Here is a 15,156-nt window from a genome sequence, read left to right on the forward strand (position 1 = left end):
ACGAGGATTTCAGGTTCTTTGAGTTTCAGGCGGACTCAGCTTCCAGGGGCGAATACTCCACCTCTTGCAGCTCCTTCTTCCCTGCTGCGGGCGAGAGGGGGTCCTGGGATGGTCTGTGGCTGGCCGTGGAGGCCGGGGTCTGGGCTGGCCGTGGAGGCCGGGATCTGGTCTCTGAAATCTGGTGGCTCCTGGCAGGTGGGCACCATTGGGGGCTGAGCACACTGTGCTCCTGCCACTGCCTCTGGCTGGGGACCCTCTGGAGCAAAGCCTCGACACCCCAGACGGCCTCCTCAGCCACTGCACGTGGTCTCCACTGGAACCCCCTGACTTACTTAGGAATGCTGACTCAGAGGCGGCTGCAGGTCTGAGCCGGGGCTGTGGCTTGGCCGACAGGCACCCACAAGGCACCCGCAGCCGCTCCGAGGCCCTGCTCTGAATGCTCTGCCTTTAGATTCCGTCCTTAGCATCAGGAAAGAAAAGACCCGGCTTGTGAGCTCCTTGTCCCACCTTCTTTCACTCCAGACGTCCATCTCCATCTTTCTCCATCAGGGACTTTCTGGGCAGGACACTTCCTTGATCACATCCCCAGTTTTCCACCCAGGACTTTGTGAAAACTCCTCCAGGCCTGGCTCTTGGTATGTCAAGAGAAGTTTAAGGGATTTAGACAGTACATACATATATGTACACGTGCGTATGTGTGTGTGTGTGTTTAAGGGATTTAGACAGTACATACGTATATGTACACGTGCGTATGTGTGTGTAAGGGATTTAGACAGTACATACGTATATGTACACGTGCGTATGTGTGTGTAAGGGATTTAGACAGTACATACGTATATGTACACGTGCGTATGTGTGTGTGCGTGTTTAGGGGATTTAGACAGTACATACGTATATGTACACGTGCGTATGTGTGTGTGCGTGTTTAAGGGATTTACACAGTACATACGTGTATGTACACGTGCATATGTGTGTGCGCGTGTTTAAGGGATTTAGACAGTACATACGTATATGTACACGTGCATATGTGTGTGCGCGTTTAAGGGATTTAGACAGTACATACGTATATGTACACATGCGTATGTGTGTGTGCGTGTTTAGGGGATTTACACAGTACATACATATATGTACACGTGCGTATGTGTGTGTGCATGTTTAAGGGATTTAGACAGTACATACGTATATGTACACGTGCGTATGTGTGTGCGCGTTTAGGGGATTTAGACAGTACATACGTATATGTACACGTGCGTATGTGTGTGCGCGCGTTTAAGGGATTTAGACAGTACATACGTATATGTACACATGCGTATGTGTGTGTGCGTGTTTAGGGGATTTACACAGTACATACGTATATGTACACGTGTGTATGTGTGTGTGCGTGTTTAAGGGATTTAGACAGTACATACGTATATGTACACATGTGCGTATGTGTGTGCGCGTTTAGGGGATTTAGACAGTACATACGTATATGTACACGTGCGTATGTGTGTGTGCGTGTTTAAGGGATTTAGACAGTACATACGCATATGTACACATGTGTGTACGTGTGTGTGCGTGTTTAAGGGATTTAGACAGTACATACGTATATGTACACATGTGCGTGTGTGTGTGCGTGTTTAAGGGATTTAGACAGTACATACGTATATGTACACATGTGCGTATGTGTGTGTGCGTGTTTAAGGGATTTAGACAGTACATACGTATATGTACACATGCATATGTGTGTGTAAGGGATTTAGACAGTACATACGTATATGTACACGTGTGTGTATGTGTGTGTGCGTGTTTAAGGGATTTAGACTACATACGTATATGTACACATGTGCATATGTGTGTGTGCGTGTTTAAGGGATTTAGACAATACATACGTATATGTGCACGTGCATATGTGTGTGCGTGTTTAAGGGATTTAGTACATACATATATGTACATGTACGTGTGTGTGTGTAAGGGCTTTAGACAGTACATATGTATATGTACACGTGTGTGTGTTTAAGGGATTTAGACAGTACATACGTATATGTACACATGTGCGTATGTGTGTGTGCGTGTTTAAGGATTTAGACAGTACATACGTATATGTACACATGTGCGTATGTGTGTGTGCGTGTTTAAGGGATTTAGACAGTACATACGTATATGTACACATGCGTATGTGTGTGTAAGGGATTTAAACAGTACATACGTATATGTACACATGTGTGTATGTGTGTGCGTGTTTAAGGGATTTAGACAGTACATATGTATATGCACACATGCGTATGTGTGTGTGCGTGTTTAAGGGATTTAGACAGTATATACGTATATGTACACATGTGCGTATGTGTGTGTGCGTGTTTAAGGGATTTAGACAGTACATACGTATATGTACACATGTGTGTATGTGTGTGTGCATGTTTAAGGGATTTAGACAGTACATACGTATATGTACACGTGTGTGTGCATGTTTAAGGGATTTAGACAGTACATACCTATATGTACACGTGCGTGTGTGTGTGCATGTTTAAGGGATTTAGACAGTACATATGTATATGTACATGTGCTTGTGTGTGTGTGTTTAAGGGATTTAGACAGTACGTATGTATATGTACACGTGTGTGTATGTGTGTGTGGGTGTTCAAGGGATTTAGATAGTACATATGTATGTGTATATGTACATGCGTGTGTATGTGTGTGTGTGAGTTCATACAAGTACTTATTTATCCACTTACTTTTCTCCTTACAGCCATGATTTTACACGTGTTTTGGTGGGAACTCAGTTATCTCGTTCCGTCAGTCAGGGCGGCAGTGATGCCTCTTCCTTTAATTTGCATTTCCACCCTGACAATCACATCTCCCTGAGCAAATGGCTATTTCTGTATGACTAGGGGAAAGATCACATATGAAGGAAAATAAAAGAGAAGAGCACACAATTTAAATAGACCTTTAAGTGATCTCTTTTGCATGGATATTCACTTTGTTTATCATCTTTCCTGGACATGTGTTGGGAATGGGATTAACTGGAGGGTGCAGTACAGAGCAGCATTCCAGAGCCGGCTCTGTGAGGGTTTCAGGCGAGAGCCGGTGCCAGGGCTGCCAGGACTTCCGTGCTTGTCGTCGTGGGGCAGGGATGGATGCCTGATTTCAGACGGAAGAACGCCACTCTCATCAGCAGTGGAACTGAGTCGAGTCCTCAGTGGCCCTGTGGAGTCTTGCAGGTGAATGCTCCAGTAAGCGACGGCCACCCCCGAGGTGTTCCTGAGATGTAGAGATAATTCCAGCTGTGCTGTGTGCTGTCTAACATTTTGGGTTCTCAGTGATGTGGGTGGAGAGATGGTTCCAGCTGCACGGTGTGCCGTCTAACATCCTGGGCTTGTTCCTGGTGTTCTCAGTGATGTGGGTGGAGAGATGGTTCCAGCTGCACTGTGTGCCGTCTAACATTCTGGGCTTGTTCCTGGCGTTCTCGGTGATGTGGATGGAGAGATGGTTCCAGCTGCACTGTGTACCGTCTAACATTCTGGGCTTGTTCCTGGTGTTCTCAGTGATATGGGTGGAGAGATGGTTCCAGCTGCACTGTGTGCCGTCTAACATTCTGGGCTTGTTCCTGGTGTTCTCGGTGATGTGGGTGGAGAGATGGTTCCAGCTGCGCTGTGTGCCGTCTAACATTCTGGGCTTGTTCCTGGTGTTCTCGGTGATGTGGGTGGAGAGATGGTTCCAGCTGCACTGTGTGCCGTCTAACATCCTGGGTTCTCGGTGATGTGGGTGGAGAGATGGTTCCAGCTGCGCTGTATGCTGTCTAACATTCTGGGCTTGTTCCTGGTGTTCTCGATGATGTGCGGCAGAGGGAAGGCCCTCACACTTTGGGGTACTTTTTCTTTAAATTAGAGATGATGATACACAGCTGGGAGGTGGGTGGGAAAGTGGGCGTGGTAGGAGATGAGTCAGGTGAGAGCATTTTGAGACACCCAGGAGCTGTAGAAACCTGAGTTGTTGCTATAGAAGTCCTAGATATCTTCCTGGATAATTCTCTTTCACATAATTGACATAACGCTTCTCTGTCACACCCAGGAAGTCCTGGTATTGTATAGATAAAATCAAAAAGTTATTTCCATTTTACCCAGACCCAGTTTTGAAAGGCCACAGGATGCCAGGATATTCCTTTTTTGTTCCTTTCCTGCTGTGATTACGGATGGGAGGATGGGATTTCAGCTTCACTGTGCTGATGGGCCGTGAAAAAAGAAACATCAGTGACCATCCCCAGAAACAGCGAAGGGGGGTGGGAATCAGTCAGTTAAGAAATCGAGCAAGTGCTCGCCCTGTCTCCACCTCGGTCTCCCACCTGCAGGCGAGAGGCCTATCCGTCCCACCTCTAAGCGTCTGTGACTCTAGGCCAGCAGGGAAGCTCTTGGCATCATGCGTGGCTCCGCTGTCCCTGCCTCCCAGAGCAGGGAGGACGAGGAGCACAGAACAGGGGTCCATCAGGGCTGTGGCTGGTGGAGGTGGGAGGCCCTGGGCTTGGACTCCACAGCCAACCAGGAGCCTGGAGCTCCACACAGCCCGAGTTAGAACCAGGACTGGCAAGAGTCAGACAATCTCCCCAGCATGTCCAGCTTTCAGTTCTGAAGAAACCAACCAACAAAGATACTTGAGCCTTTGCAGTTCCCACGTGCCGGAAAAACTGGTACATGCTTGAGAAGCGTGGATGTACAGAAGAGAAAGCCTCTCGGGTGGGGTCACCGCAAAGAGGAAAGGGCGCACGCAGGTCACTGCAAAGAGGAAAGGGCGCACGCAGGCGCAATGCACAGATCCACGGGCAGCATCTAGACGACGTGCGCTGCTCACAAGGCGAACCTTCGCTCAATGCTCCGGAAGCTGGTTTCCGAATTCACGCCAGCTCACAACTGACCTTCATGCTACACTTTGGGTCCCGTGAGGGCGGCTGCTTCCCCCTGCTCACTCTTGGGCAGCTGGAGCCTAACATAGAACCTGGCATGTGGTAAGCGTGTGCTCAAACTTCACGGCGGGGTGAGGGTGCAGGCATGTGCTTACCACACACTCAAACCTCACGGCAGGCTGAGGATGCAGGCATGTGCTTACCACACACTCAAACCTCACAGGCAGGCTGAGGGTGCAGGCAGGTGCTTACCACACACTCAAACCTCAGGGCGGGCTGAGGATGCAGGCACGTGCTTACCAGGCATTCAAACTTCACGACTGGCTGAGGATGCAGGCAGGTGCTTACTACACACTCAAACTTCACGGTGGGCTGAGGGTGCAGGCACGTGCTTACCAGGTATTCAAACTTCATGGTGGGCTGAGGGTGCAGGCATGTGCTTACCGCACACTCAAACTTCATGGGGGGCTGAGGGTGCAGGCATGTGCGTACCAGGTATTCAAACTTCATGGTGGGCTGAGGGTGCAGGCATGTGCTTACCACGCATTGAAACTTCAGGGCGGGCTGAGGATGCAGGCATGTGCTTACCAGGCACTCAAACTTCACGGCAGGCTGAGGGTGCAGGCATGTGCTTACCAGGCACTCAAACTTCACGGCAGGCTGAGGGTGCAGGCATGTGCTTACCACGCACTCAAACTTCACGGCGGGCTGAGGGTGCAGGCACGAGCTTACCACGCATTGAAACTTCAGGGCGGGCTGAGGATGCAGGCATGTGCTTACCACACACTCAAACTTCACGACAGGCTGAGGGTGCAGGCATGTGCTTACCACGCACTCAAACTTCACGGCGGGCTGAGGGTGCAGGCACGAGCTTACCACACACTCAAACTTCACGGCGGGCTGAGGGTGCAGGCACGAGCTTACCACACACTCAAACTTCACGACAGGCTGAGGGTGCAGGCATGTGCTTACTAGGCAGTCAAACTTCACGGCAGGCTGAAGGTGCCTGCTCCCAAGCGATCTCATGCAGCCTGCACTCAAACTCCACATTCCAAAAGTACCTACTCATCTGCCTAGATGCCTGCAGGGCTGGCTCTGATCTGCTTGTCCTGAAATGTGTTAACTGCCTTTTCATACCTTTTTTCATTGCCATGCCAACTGTGAAAGACTCCAGCCCCTTTCAGATGAGGCCCCCAGCTCGGAGATCCACCCTCCAGGAGGTGCTGGGCAGACGCGTGGGGCGGCCTCCACCTCCGGTTTCCTCCCTGTTGCCTCCCGCAGCCTCTCATTCAGAAAGAAACGTGTTTCCGGAAGCTGTGCCGTTGCCATGGAGCCTGGATGGCTTTGTCAGTTTCCTTATTTGCAGCCTCATCTCATCTCCAGACCCACTGTGCTCCTGGACTCGCTGGCAGTCCCAGCTCTCGCCTTCACTGTGGTCTGTGGACCCCTGCACTGAGCCTCGTGTCCTGTGAAGTCAGGCTCTGAGGGTCTCCACGGCCTCCTCTCACCAGAGACCCCCACATCTGCCGCGAATATAACCTAACACTCGAAACCTTTCTCAGTGGCTTGTGCCACCTTTTGAACTTACAATGTTGCTTTGTAGTTCCTTTTATCTGTTGTACGCTTCAGTTAACAGCGCAGTCGACACCTCCCCGGTGTTGGCATATTCTATCCTTCCACGTCCGTGTTGTGTGTTTTCATGGCGTGTCACTGACTCCCCCCGCTGGGGCCCGCGTCTCCTCTGTGCCTCCTCGTTTTGCGGTCTCTCCACATTTCCTGGATGCTCACTGTGCACCTGTCTCACTACAGCACCCTCGACACTGGCGGGCGCCTGGCTCAGCTGTTTAAGTAACTTTATGTTTATTACTTGGGAGGATATTAGCCTAGATTTAATTAATCTCTATGGCAGCATTTTACTTTTTTCTTTTATTTCATTTTGGAGACAGCCTGGGCTTTGTGGCCCAAGCTGGAGTGCAGTGGCGATCTCGGCTCACTGCAGCCTCTGCTTCCCAGGTTCAAGAGATTCTCCTGCTTCAGCCTCCCGAGTAGCTGGGACTACAGGCATGTGCCACCAAACCCGGCTAATTTTTGTATTTTTAGTAGAGACGGGGTTTCACCATGTTGGCCAGTGTGGCCTCGAACTTCTGGCCTCAAGTGATCCACCTGCCTCGGCCTCCCAAAGTGCTGGGATTACAAGTGTGAGCCACCGCACCCGGCCTATGTTGCTTCATTTTAAATGTCCAGTTGCGAAGCTGTGGGTGCAGTAATGGAGCTGATTTCTCAGCTGCTTCAGCTGAGTGATGTCCAACAACTGAACACAGGAAGCCTCAACGCAGATGCTCAGGCGGGGGCGACCGTGGAGACGGAATATTCTCTGGCCCTTCTGTGTTAAGAAAGCCTTCAGGTTGCTGATTATAGAAATGGATGTTTTTAGTCAGCAGTGCAGCTCCACTCTCAAATGGAAGAAAATCCTGTTTTCAGCACCACGTATGCCTAAAGCATCAATTATTTCACTCCCAAATCAGCTGTGTTGCCACCACATTGAATCTGCTGTGAAATAACAGTGTCTGCCAGCACGTGGGTGTTTGGTTAATTATTGTCTTTTTATAAAATATCTGCTTTATTGATACCTTTTCCTTTGGCTTAAGTCATTAATGATGTGTTATTCTGGTCTTGTCATGGATCTGTCAGTGGAATTGCACTGCAGGTGGCTTCTTTGTGGAGTGACAGCAAACGGCATTTGGAAAGTGTGGCTGTTCACCCTGTGGCTGTCCCAGGGCCACACACTGATTGGACTGGGGGCAGGTACCCCACAGAGCCACATGGGTTTAAGCCGAGTCTGCCTAAGTGTGGAACCATAAGTACAGAATGAAGGAAAACAAAACCTGAGCATTTTCTCAGAGTTAGGATTGTTCTTTTGAAAATCTTGGGCCAACTGGGATGACCGAGATTTTTATCCTCTTACCAGTTTTTTTTTTTTTTATGTTTTCTATTTCTAGTGAAGAACTAGAAGGAAAATATGCCCTTAAACGGACAAGTGTGTTATGGACGGAATGTGTGTGTCGCTCTGAAATTCGTAGGTTGCAGCCTCACCCTCAGCGGAGGAGATTAGGGTTTGATGAGGTCGTGAGGGTGGGGCCTCGTGCTGGGGCGAGTGTCCTTGTGAGAAGAGGCACCAGATCCCACAGGCTCCCTCTCTTCCTGGGCCCACACAGAGAAGCCGAGCCCTGTGGGTGCAGTCAGGACGGTGGCCGTGGCCCCCAGAGAAGGTGCCTCAGGCGAAACCAGCCCTGTCAGTGCCTTGGTCTTGGACCTCAGCCTCCAGACCTGTGGGAAGCGAATGTCTGCTGTTCAAGCTGCCCAGTGCATGGTATTTTGTTACAGTATCCTGGGCTGACTAGGACACAGGCCTGGGAAAGTTTGCTGCTGAAATTTTGAATGGCAAGAGTGACAACCAAAATTAAAATGATCTGTACGAAGTGACATGCTTGTTCCTCATTCAATTTAACATAGCGTTTATAGAGTATTGCAATGCTATTATCTTGATTCTTCCGTAAATATTGGGCAGAAATAGGGCAGATAGGATTTGTTCCTGTTTTATAGACAGAGAACCTGAGATGTGCATTGCACATGGCCTGTGCCCTCCTGGAACCCAGAAGCAGGTGGAGCCCTCGTCTTCCCACCCAGTGACCTCCCCACCCCGCCAACGGGCATGGGAGCCATTGCCACGGCCTGGGACCCCTCTACCTGCGGAAGCTAAGGAAGGGGCAGGTTAGATGAAGGATGGCACAGGGAGATACCAGAACGCTGTGCAGGGATTCACTGTGATGCTTTCAAATCATTTTAGTACGGAGGTGTGCGGACGCCTGTGAAATATTTTACATCCTGCATCTTTCCTTTTGAGAATTTTAACCTGCACCTGGTGTGTGTGTATATGTGTGTAAATACATGCACATTTGCACTTGCATTTATATTTATATTATTTATGTTACTATTTAATATAGTTTGGCTATAAATCTTTTCCTTTATGGTCACAACGTTTGTGTTTTGCCAGGAAAATTTTTTTCTTTCCCAGTATAAAGGCATTTTCCAAGGTTATCTTGTAGGATCTTTGTTTTTTCACCCTCCCTGTTCATTTCCACAATCCACCTGGGGTTTGTTTCGTGTGAGCCTGAGGTGGGTTGAGTTTCCTTCTTTTCTCTACGCGCGTTTGATGATCCAGCGCCGTGGGGTGGAGGCTTTCAGAGACATCCGTCACAGGTGGGTGTCCCTGCCTGCCTGGCTGCGAGGCTTCTCCACGCACCCGCTTTGCTGGTCTTGGGGTCAGGACCTTCAGGGCACAGCCAGTGCCCTGGGCCCCTTTCCCAGCCCCTTCACCTGTCCTCGGCTTCTGCAATTCCATATAAATTTCAGAATTTGAAAAACTTTACAAGCACAAATTCTGGGCAATTAATGATAATTCATTGAATCTACAGATTTATTTGGCAGTAAAAGATACCTTCACAACATTGAGTCAGTGGGCCCTGTACATAGTTTGTAAATTTGTTCCAGGTATTAAATATTTTGTAGTGCTGTTTTATTTTTTGTTTGTTTCTGGATTATAGAAATATAATTACATTTAAAAATTTGACCTTTTATCCAGAAACCTTACTAAATTCTAACAGTTTATCTTAATTTGTTTTGGACTTTTAACATGCATAGTCTGTCATTTGTGGCTTAGGTTGATTTTCTTTCTTTTCTCTGCGAATGCTTTTATACTCCCGGTGCATATTGAAAAGCCAAAGCTGCAGCGTTGTGCAATGGATTCCATCAGAGTTTGGCACTTTTTTCTTCAAAGTTACGGTGCAGGTGACTGAGGACAGCTGTTGCGAGCGCTGCTTCTTGGTTCCCCCGGAATGGGAGGCATCACGTGCGGCTTCCAGGAGGCCACCTCAGGGAGGATCGTGTTTCCATGCACAGCGAAGGATCTGGGCAGGTAAATCAAATCATCACAGCAATTCGGGATTCGTTCAGGGCACAAAAGAAAGCCAAAGGACAGAGATCTTTTATTCGTTTCTGTAAGTTTAGGCTCTTGCTATGCATTCTTTTATTTTGATTCTGGAGAAAATAGTACAATTAAAGAAACCACTTTGCCAAGTGTTTAAAAAATGCAGAATGCAGTAGCCATCCTCAACTATTCCTATGCTCAGAAATTAACATGTGCTTCACGAGGACATGAGGCATCGTTCGATCATTTTTCCGTTTGTGAATCAAACGCTACCCAGCCCTTGGGCGTCAGTGAATTTCCTGAATCTCCTGAATGCCTTTGAGCATTTCTCTTGAGAAACAGGTGACTTGTGTCATACATAACTGGTTCACTAGACTTAAGTTCCCGAGATTCCAGGTGTTTGCAACATGACGAAGGCAACATTCAGTCCAAACTCAAACTATAATATCTTAAATTCAATTAATCGAAGGCTCAATGAAAATAATTGCTCTTTTTATTATTCATTCATTCAACAAATATGAATTAAGTGCTCATTATTTGCTGGGCACTGACGTGTCGGAGACACAAAGGTGAAAAGCCCCAGTTGGGGCCTTCTAGGACCAAAGCCGTGGGCTGTGCAGACAGCCAGGGTCACAGGGCTATGGAACAGGCCAGGGCTGCACGGCTATAGAACAGGCCGGGGTCACACGGCTATGGAACAGGTTGGGGTTACATGGCTATAGAACAGGCCGGGGCCACATGGCTATGGAACAGGTTGGGGTTACTTGGCTATAGAACAGGCCGGGGCCACACGGCTATGGAACAGGTTGGGGTTACGTGGCTCTACGGAACAGGCTGGGGTTACATGGCTATAGAACAGGCCGGGGCCACACGGCTATGGAACAGGCCGGGGTTACGTGGCTACGGAACAGGCTGGGGTTACATGGCTATAGAACAGGCCGGGGCCACAGGGCTATGGAACAGGCTGGGGTTACATGGCTATAGAACAGGCCGGGGCCACACGGCTATGGAACAGGTTGGGGTTACGTGGCTACGGAACAGGCTGGGGTTACATGGCTATAGAACAGGCCGGGGCCACAGGGCTATGGAACAGGCTGGGGTTACATGGCTATAGAACAGGCCGGGGCCACATGGCTATGGAACAGGTTGGGGTTACTTGGCTATAGAACAGGCCGGGGCCACACGGCTATGGAACAGGCTGGGGTTACATGGCTATAGAACAGGCCAGGGCCACAGGGCTATGGAACAGGCTGGGGTTACTTGGCTATAGAACAGGCCGGGGCCGCACGGCTATGGAACAGGTTGGGGTTACATGGCTATAGAACAGGCCAGGGCCACAGGGCTATGGAACAGGCTGGGGTTACTTGGCTACAGAACAGGCCAGGGCCACAGGGCTATGGAACAGGCTGGGGTTACATGGCTATAGAACAGGCCGGGGCCACACGGCTATGGAACAGGCTGGGGTTACATGGCTATAGAACAGGCCAGGGCCACATGGCTATGGAACAGGTTGGGGTTACGTGGCTATAGAACAGGCCAGGGCCACACGGCTATGGAACAGGTTGGGGTTACATGGCTATAGAACAGGCCGGGGCCGCACGGCTATGGAACAGGCTGGGGTTACATGGCTATAGAACAGGCCAGGGCCACACGGCTATGGAACAGGTTGGGGTTACGTGGCTATAGAACAGGCCAGGGCCACACGGCTATGGAACAGGCTGGGGTTACTTGGCTATAGAACAGGCCAGGGCCACAGGGCTATGGAACAGGCTGGGGTTACTTGGCTACAGAACAGGCCAGGGCCACAGGGCTATGGAACAGGCTGGGGTTACATGGCTATAGAACAGGCCGGGGCCACACGGCTATGGAACAGGCTGGGGTTACATGGCTATAGAACAGGCCAGGGCCACATGGCTATGGAACAGGTTGGGGTTACGTGGCTATAGAACAGGCCAGGGCCACACGGCTATGGAACAGGTTGGGGTTACATGGCTATAGAACAGGCCGGGGCCGCACGGCTATGGAACAGGCTGGGGTTACATGGCTATAGAACAGGCCAGGGCCACAGGGCTATGGAACAGGCTGGGGTTACTTGGCTACAGAACAGGCCAGGGCCACAGGGCTATGGAACAGGCTGGGGTTACTTGGCTATAGAACAGGCCGGGGCCGCACGGCTATGGAACAGGCTGGGGTTACTTGGCTATAGAACAGGCCGGGGCCGCACGGCTATGGAACAGGCTGGGGTTACTTGGCTATAGAACAGGCCGGGGCCACACGGCTATGGAACAGGCTGGGGTTACATGGCTATAGAACAGGCCGGGGCCACATGGCTATGGAACAGGTTGGGGTTACGTGGCTATAGAACAGGCCGGGGCCGCAGGGTTATGGACCAGGCTGGGGTTACATGGCTACAGAACAGGCCAGGGCCCCAGGGTATGGAACAGGCTGGGGTTACTTGGCTACAGAACAGGCCAGGGCCACACGGCTATGGAACAGGCTGGGGTTACATGGCTACAGAACAGGCCAGGGCCACAGGGCTATGGAACAGGCTGGGGTTACTTGGCTACAGAACAGGCCAGGGCCACAGGGCTATGGAACAGGCTGGGGTTACTTGGCTACAGAACAGGCCAGGGCCACACGGCTATGGAACAGGCTGGGGTTACATGGCTATAGAACAGGCCAGGGCCACAGGGCTATGGAACAGGCTGGGGTTACATGGCTACAGAACAGGCCAGGGCCACAGGGCTATGGAACAGGCTGGGGTTACATGGCTATAGAACAGGCCGGGGCCGCACGGCTATGGAACAGGCTGGGGTTACATGGCTACAGAACAGGCCAGGGCCACAGGGTATGGAACAGGCTGGGGTTACTTGGCTACAGAACAGGCCAGGGCCACACGGCTATGGAACAGGCTGGGGTTACATGGCTACAGAACAGGCCAGGGCCACAGGGTATGGAACAGGCTGGGGTTACTTGGCTACAGAACAGGCCAGGGCCACACGGCTATGGAACAGGCTGGGGTTACATGGCTATAGAACAGGCCAGGGCCACAGGGCTATGGAACAGGCTGGGGTTACATGGCTACAGAACAGGCCAGGGCCACAGGGTATGGAACAGGTCAGTATTACAGGGCTACGGAACAGGTGCTGCAACAGTGAAGCTCAACACAGGCACCCCAGCCAGCCTCAGGGGGTAACAAGGGGTCCCTGTGGGGAGTCAGCCAGGCAGAAGGCACAGACCATCCCACAGACACCATGGCACAGGCAAGAGGATCCGGAAGTGAGAAGGAACATGCGGCACGTTGAGAGAACTGGTTTGCACAGGTCTCCAGGCCACGTCGGAGGTAGGGGGGACCTTTCACCCACTTCGCGCTTCTCTGCCATCTCGCTGAAGTTTTCCTTATCTTTCTAATGACATAATCCATCACTGATGTCTCTCATCCCTGCCTCCAGGCTGTGGAGGATGGGACAGGCCCTGGGTTCATAGCCCCAGAGCTGCGTGAGGAATGTGAGTCTCAGACTGTGCGCTCCTCATGGCTGGGGCCATGGCATGTCACTGATGGATTTTGAATTAACTGGTGATTAGAAAAATCCATAAAATACACACAATGGATTTGTAGAAATGGCACTCTGCAATTCTGCCCCCAAACTCAGGGCCTGTGTGGAAGGCGGTGGAGGCTGGAGCCGGGCCAAGAAGGATGGGCTCCCGCTGTGCTGCCTCCCAGCTGTGAAACCTGGGCCAGGAAAACAAAGCACTTTGGGTTTCAGTTTTTCTTTAAATAAAAATGGAAATACTAACACCCGCTCTGCAGGGTGGTTGTGAAAATTTTAAATGTCTATGTTTGAAAGTCACTCTGTGTGATGTCTGGTCCAATGTAGTGGCTAAATAATAATAATACTAATATTTGTATTAGTAGTAACGATGTCACAGACACACTCCTTCCTTGTCACTGACAGGGCCAGCCCTTCATCTCTCTTCTTGTTTCTCCACCTGAGGTGACAAAAGTGTATCCTAAAAGAACACAGGCTTTGGAATCAAAATGGTCTGTGGTCCTACGCCCCACCATGGACTGACCGTGTGACTTTGGACACTTCAACTTCTCTTAGCATCAGTACTCACATCAGTGAAATGGGGAGATTAATACTTACCTGAAGGGATTTACTTTGGACCAAGTAAAATTATTATACTGATCCAGGCACCTGGTAGAAATTCCATACATGCTAGGACGTTCCCTCTCTTCCTACACTTGTAGGAATAATCTCATAAATACCACAATGGGTATTCAAATACAGGAATATGAGCTAGAGTTTCACCTTGGTGGTTGAAGGCCAAAAATGATTTGGATGTTTGGGACTGACATGATTGGAGAAATGAAAGCAGGACCCCAGCATCCAGTTTTCCAAAACATAGGGCACTGGCTGGCCCTGTGGCCGGGAGACAGGCCTCTCCCTTCTAGATCTGAGCGCCACTGAGTGGGCCTGAGGCCAGGAGAGAGGCCTCTTCTTCTAGATTTGAGGGATGTGGCACCAGCTGGCCCTGTGGCTGGGAGAGAGGCCCCTCTTTTCTAGATTTGAGAGCCACCAACTGGGCCTGAGGCCAGGAGAGAGGCTTCTCCTTTCTAGATCCAAGAGCACCTTGCAGGGTCAGCTCCAGCAGCATCATCCTCCCCTCAGCACGGCACCAGGAACTGCAGGGACTTAACTCTTGGTGCCTTCATCAGTGTTGGCTGAGTGAACCCTGATACTATCTAAAATAATGACAAAGTGCATTTACATATCAAAACAGCCTTATAGTCTGGGAATAGTGGTAAAGAAATCACCCTGACAGCCCTGAAAGAGAGAGAGAACCTCTGAACAAAAATACAACTTTCCAGTTATTTTCCAGTTTGTGGTAAAATTCAAGATCAGGAAAAAATGTGTGTATCACTGGATCAGTTTTAAATATTGAGGGGGCACATGGTAAGTTCTGGGGCACTGCCCACATCTGTCCTTGAGTGAATGCTGCTGTCTGGAGGGCTGCCTTCAACCGCTGACTGACCTGGCCAGAGGTGAGCGAGCTCCATCTTCACAGCCTGTCTGTCAGGGTCCAGGTTGGCACGGGCATGGGAGATGCTGAGTGGCCCCTCACACACCTCAGCAGTGATGGGCCTGAGGGACCAGCCTTTCCTAGCTCTCTCTGTCTGCAGGAGCTGTTCAAAAGCTTGGGAAGATTTTTGCATTTGGAATTCTCTTCAAGTAGTTTGGTGAGTGTATTAGTCTGTTTTCACACTGCTATGAAGAAGTACCTGGAAATG

General features: G+C 50.3%; 1 annotated feature.

The window, feature by feature from the left end:
- Positions 5,677-6,376: an enhancer, noted in NCBI's record as "NANOG-H3K27ac-H3K4me1 hESC enhancer chr2:393639-394338 (GRCh37/hg19 assembly coordinates)". NCBI's record gives its function as "activates a minimal SCP1, AML or CMV promoter by ChIP-STARR-seq in primed H9 embryonic stem cells {active_cell/tissue: H9 hESC(primed)}" and the evidence as "EXISTENCE:reporter gene assay evidence [ECO:0000049][PMID:30033119]".

The sequence above is a fragment of the Homo sapiens genome, chromosome 2 (genome assembly GCF_000001405.40).
Source record: "Homo sapiens chromosome 2, GRCh38.p14 Primary Assembly".
NCBI lineage: Eukaryota > Metazoa > Chordata > Mammalia > Primates > Hominidae > Homo > Homo sapiens.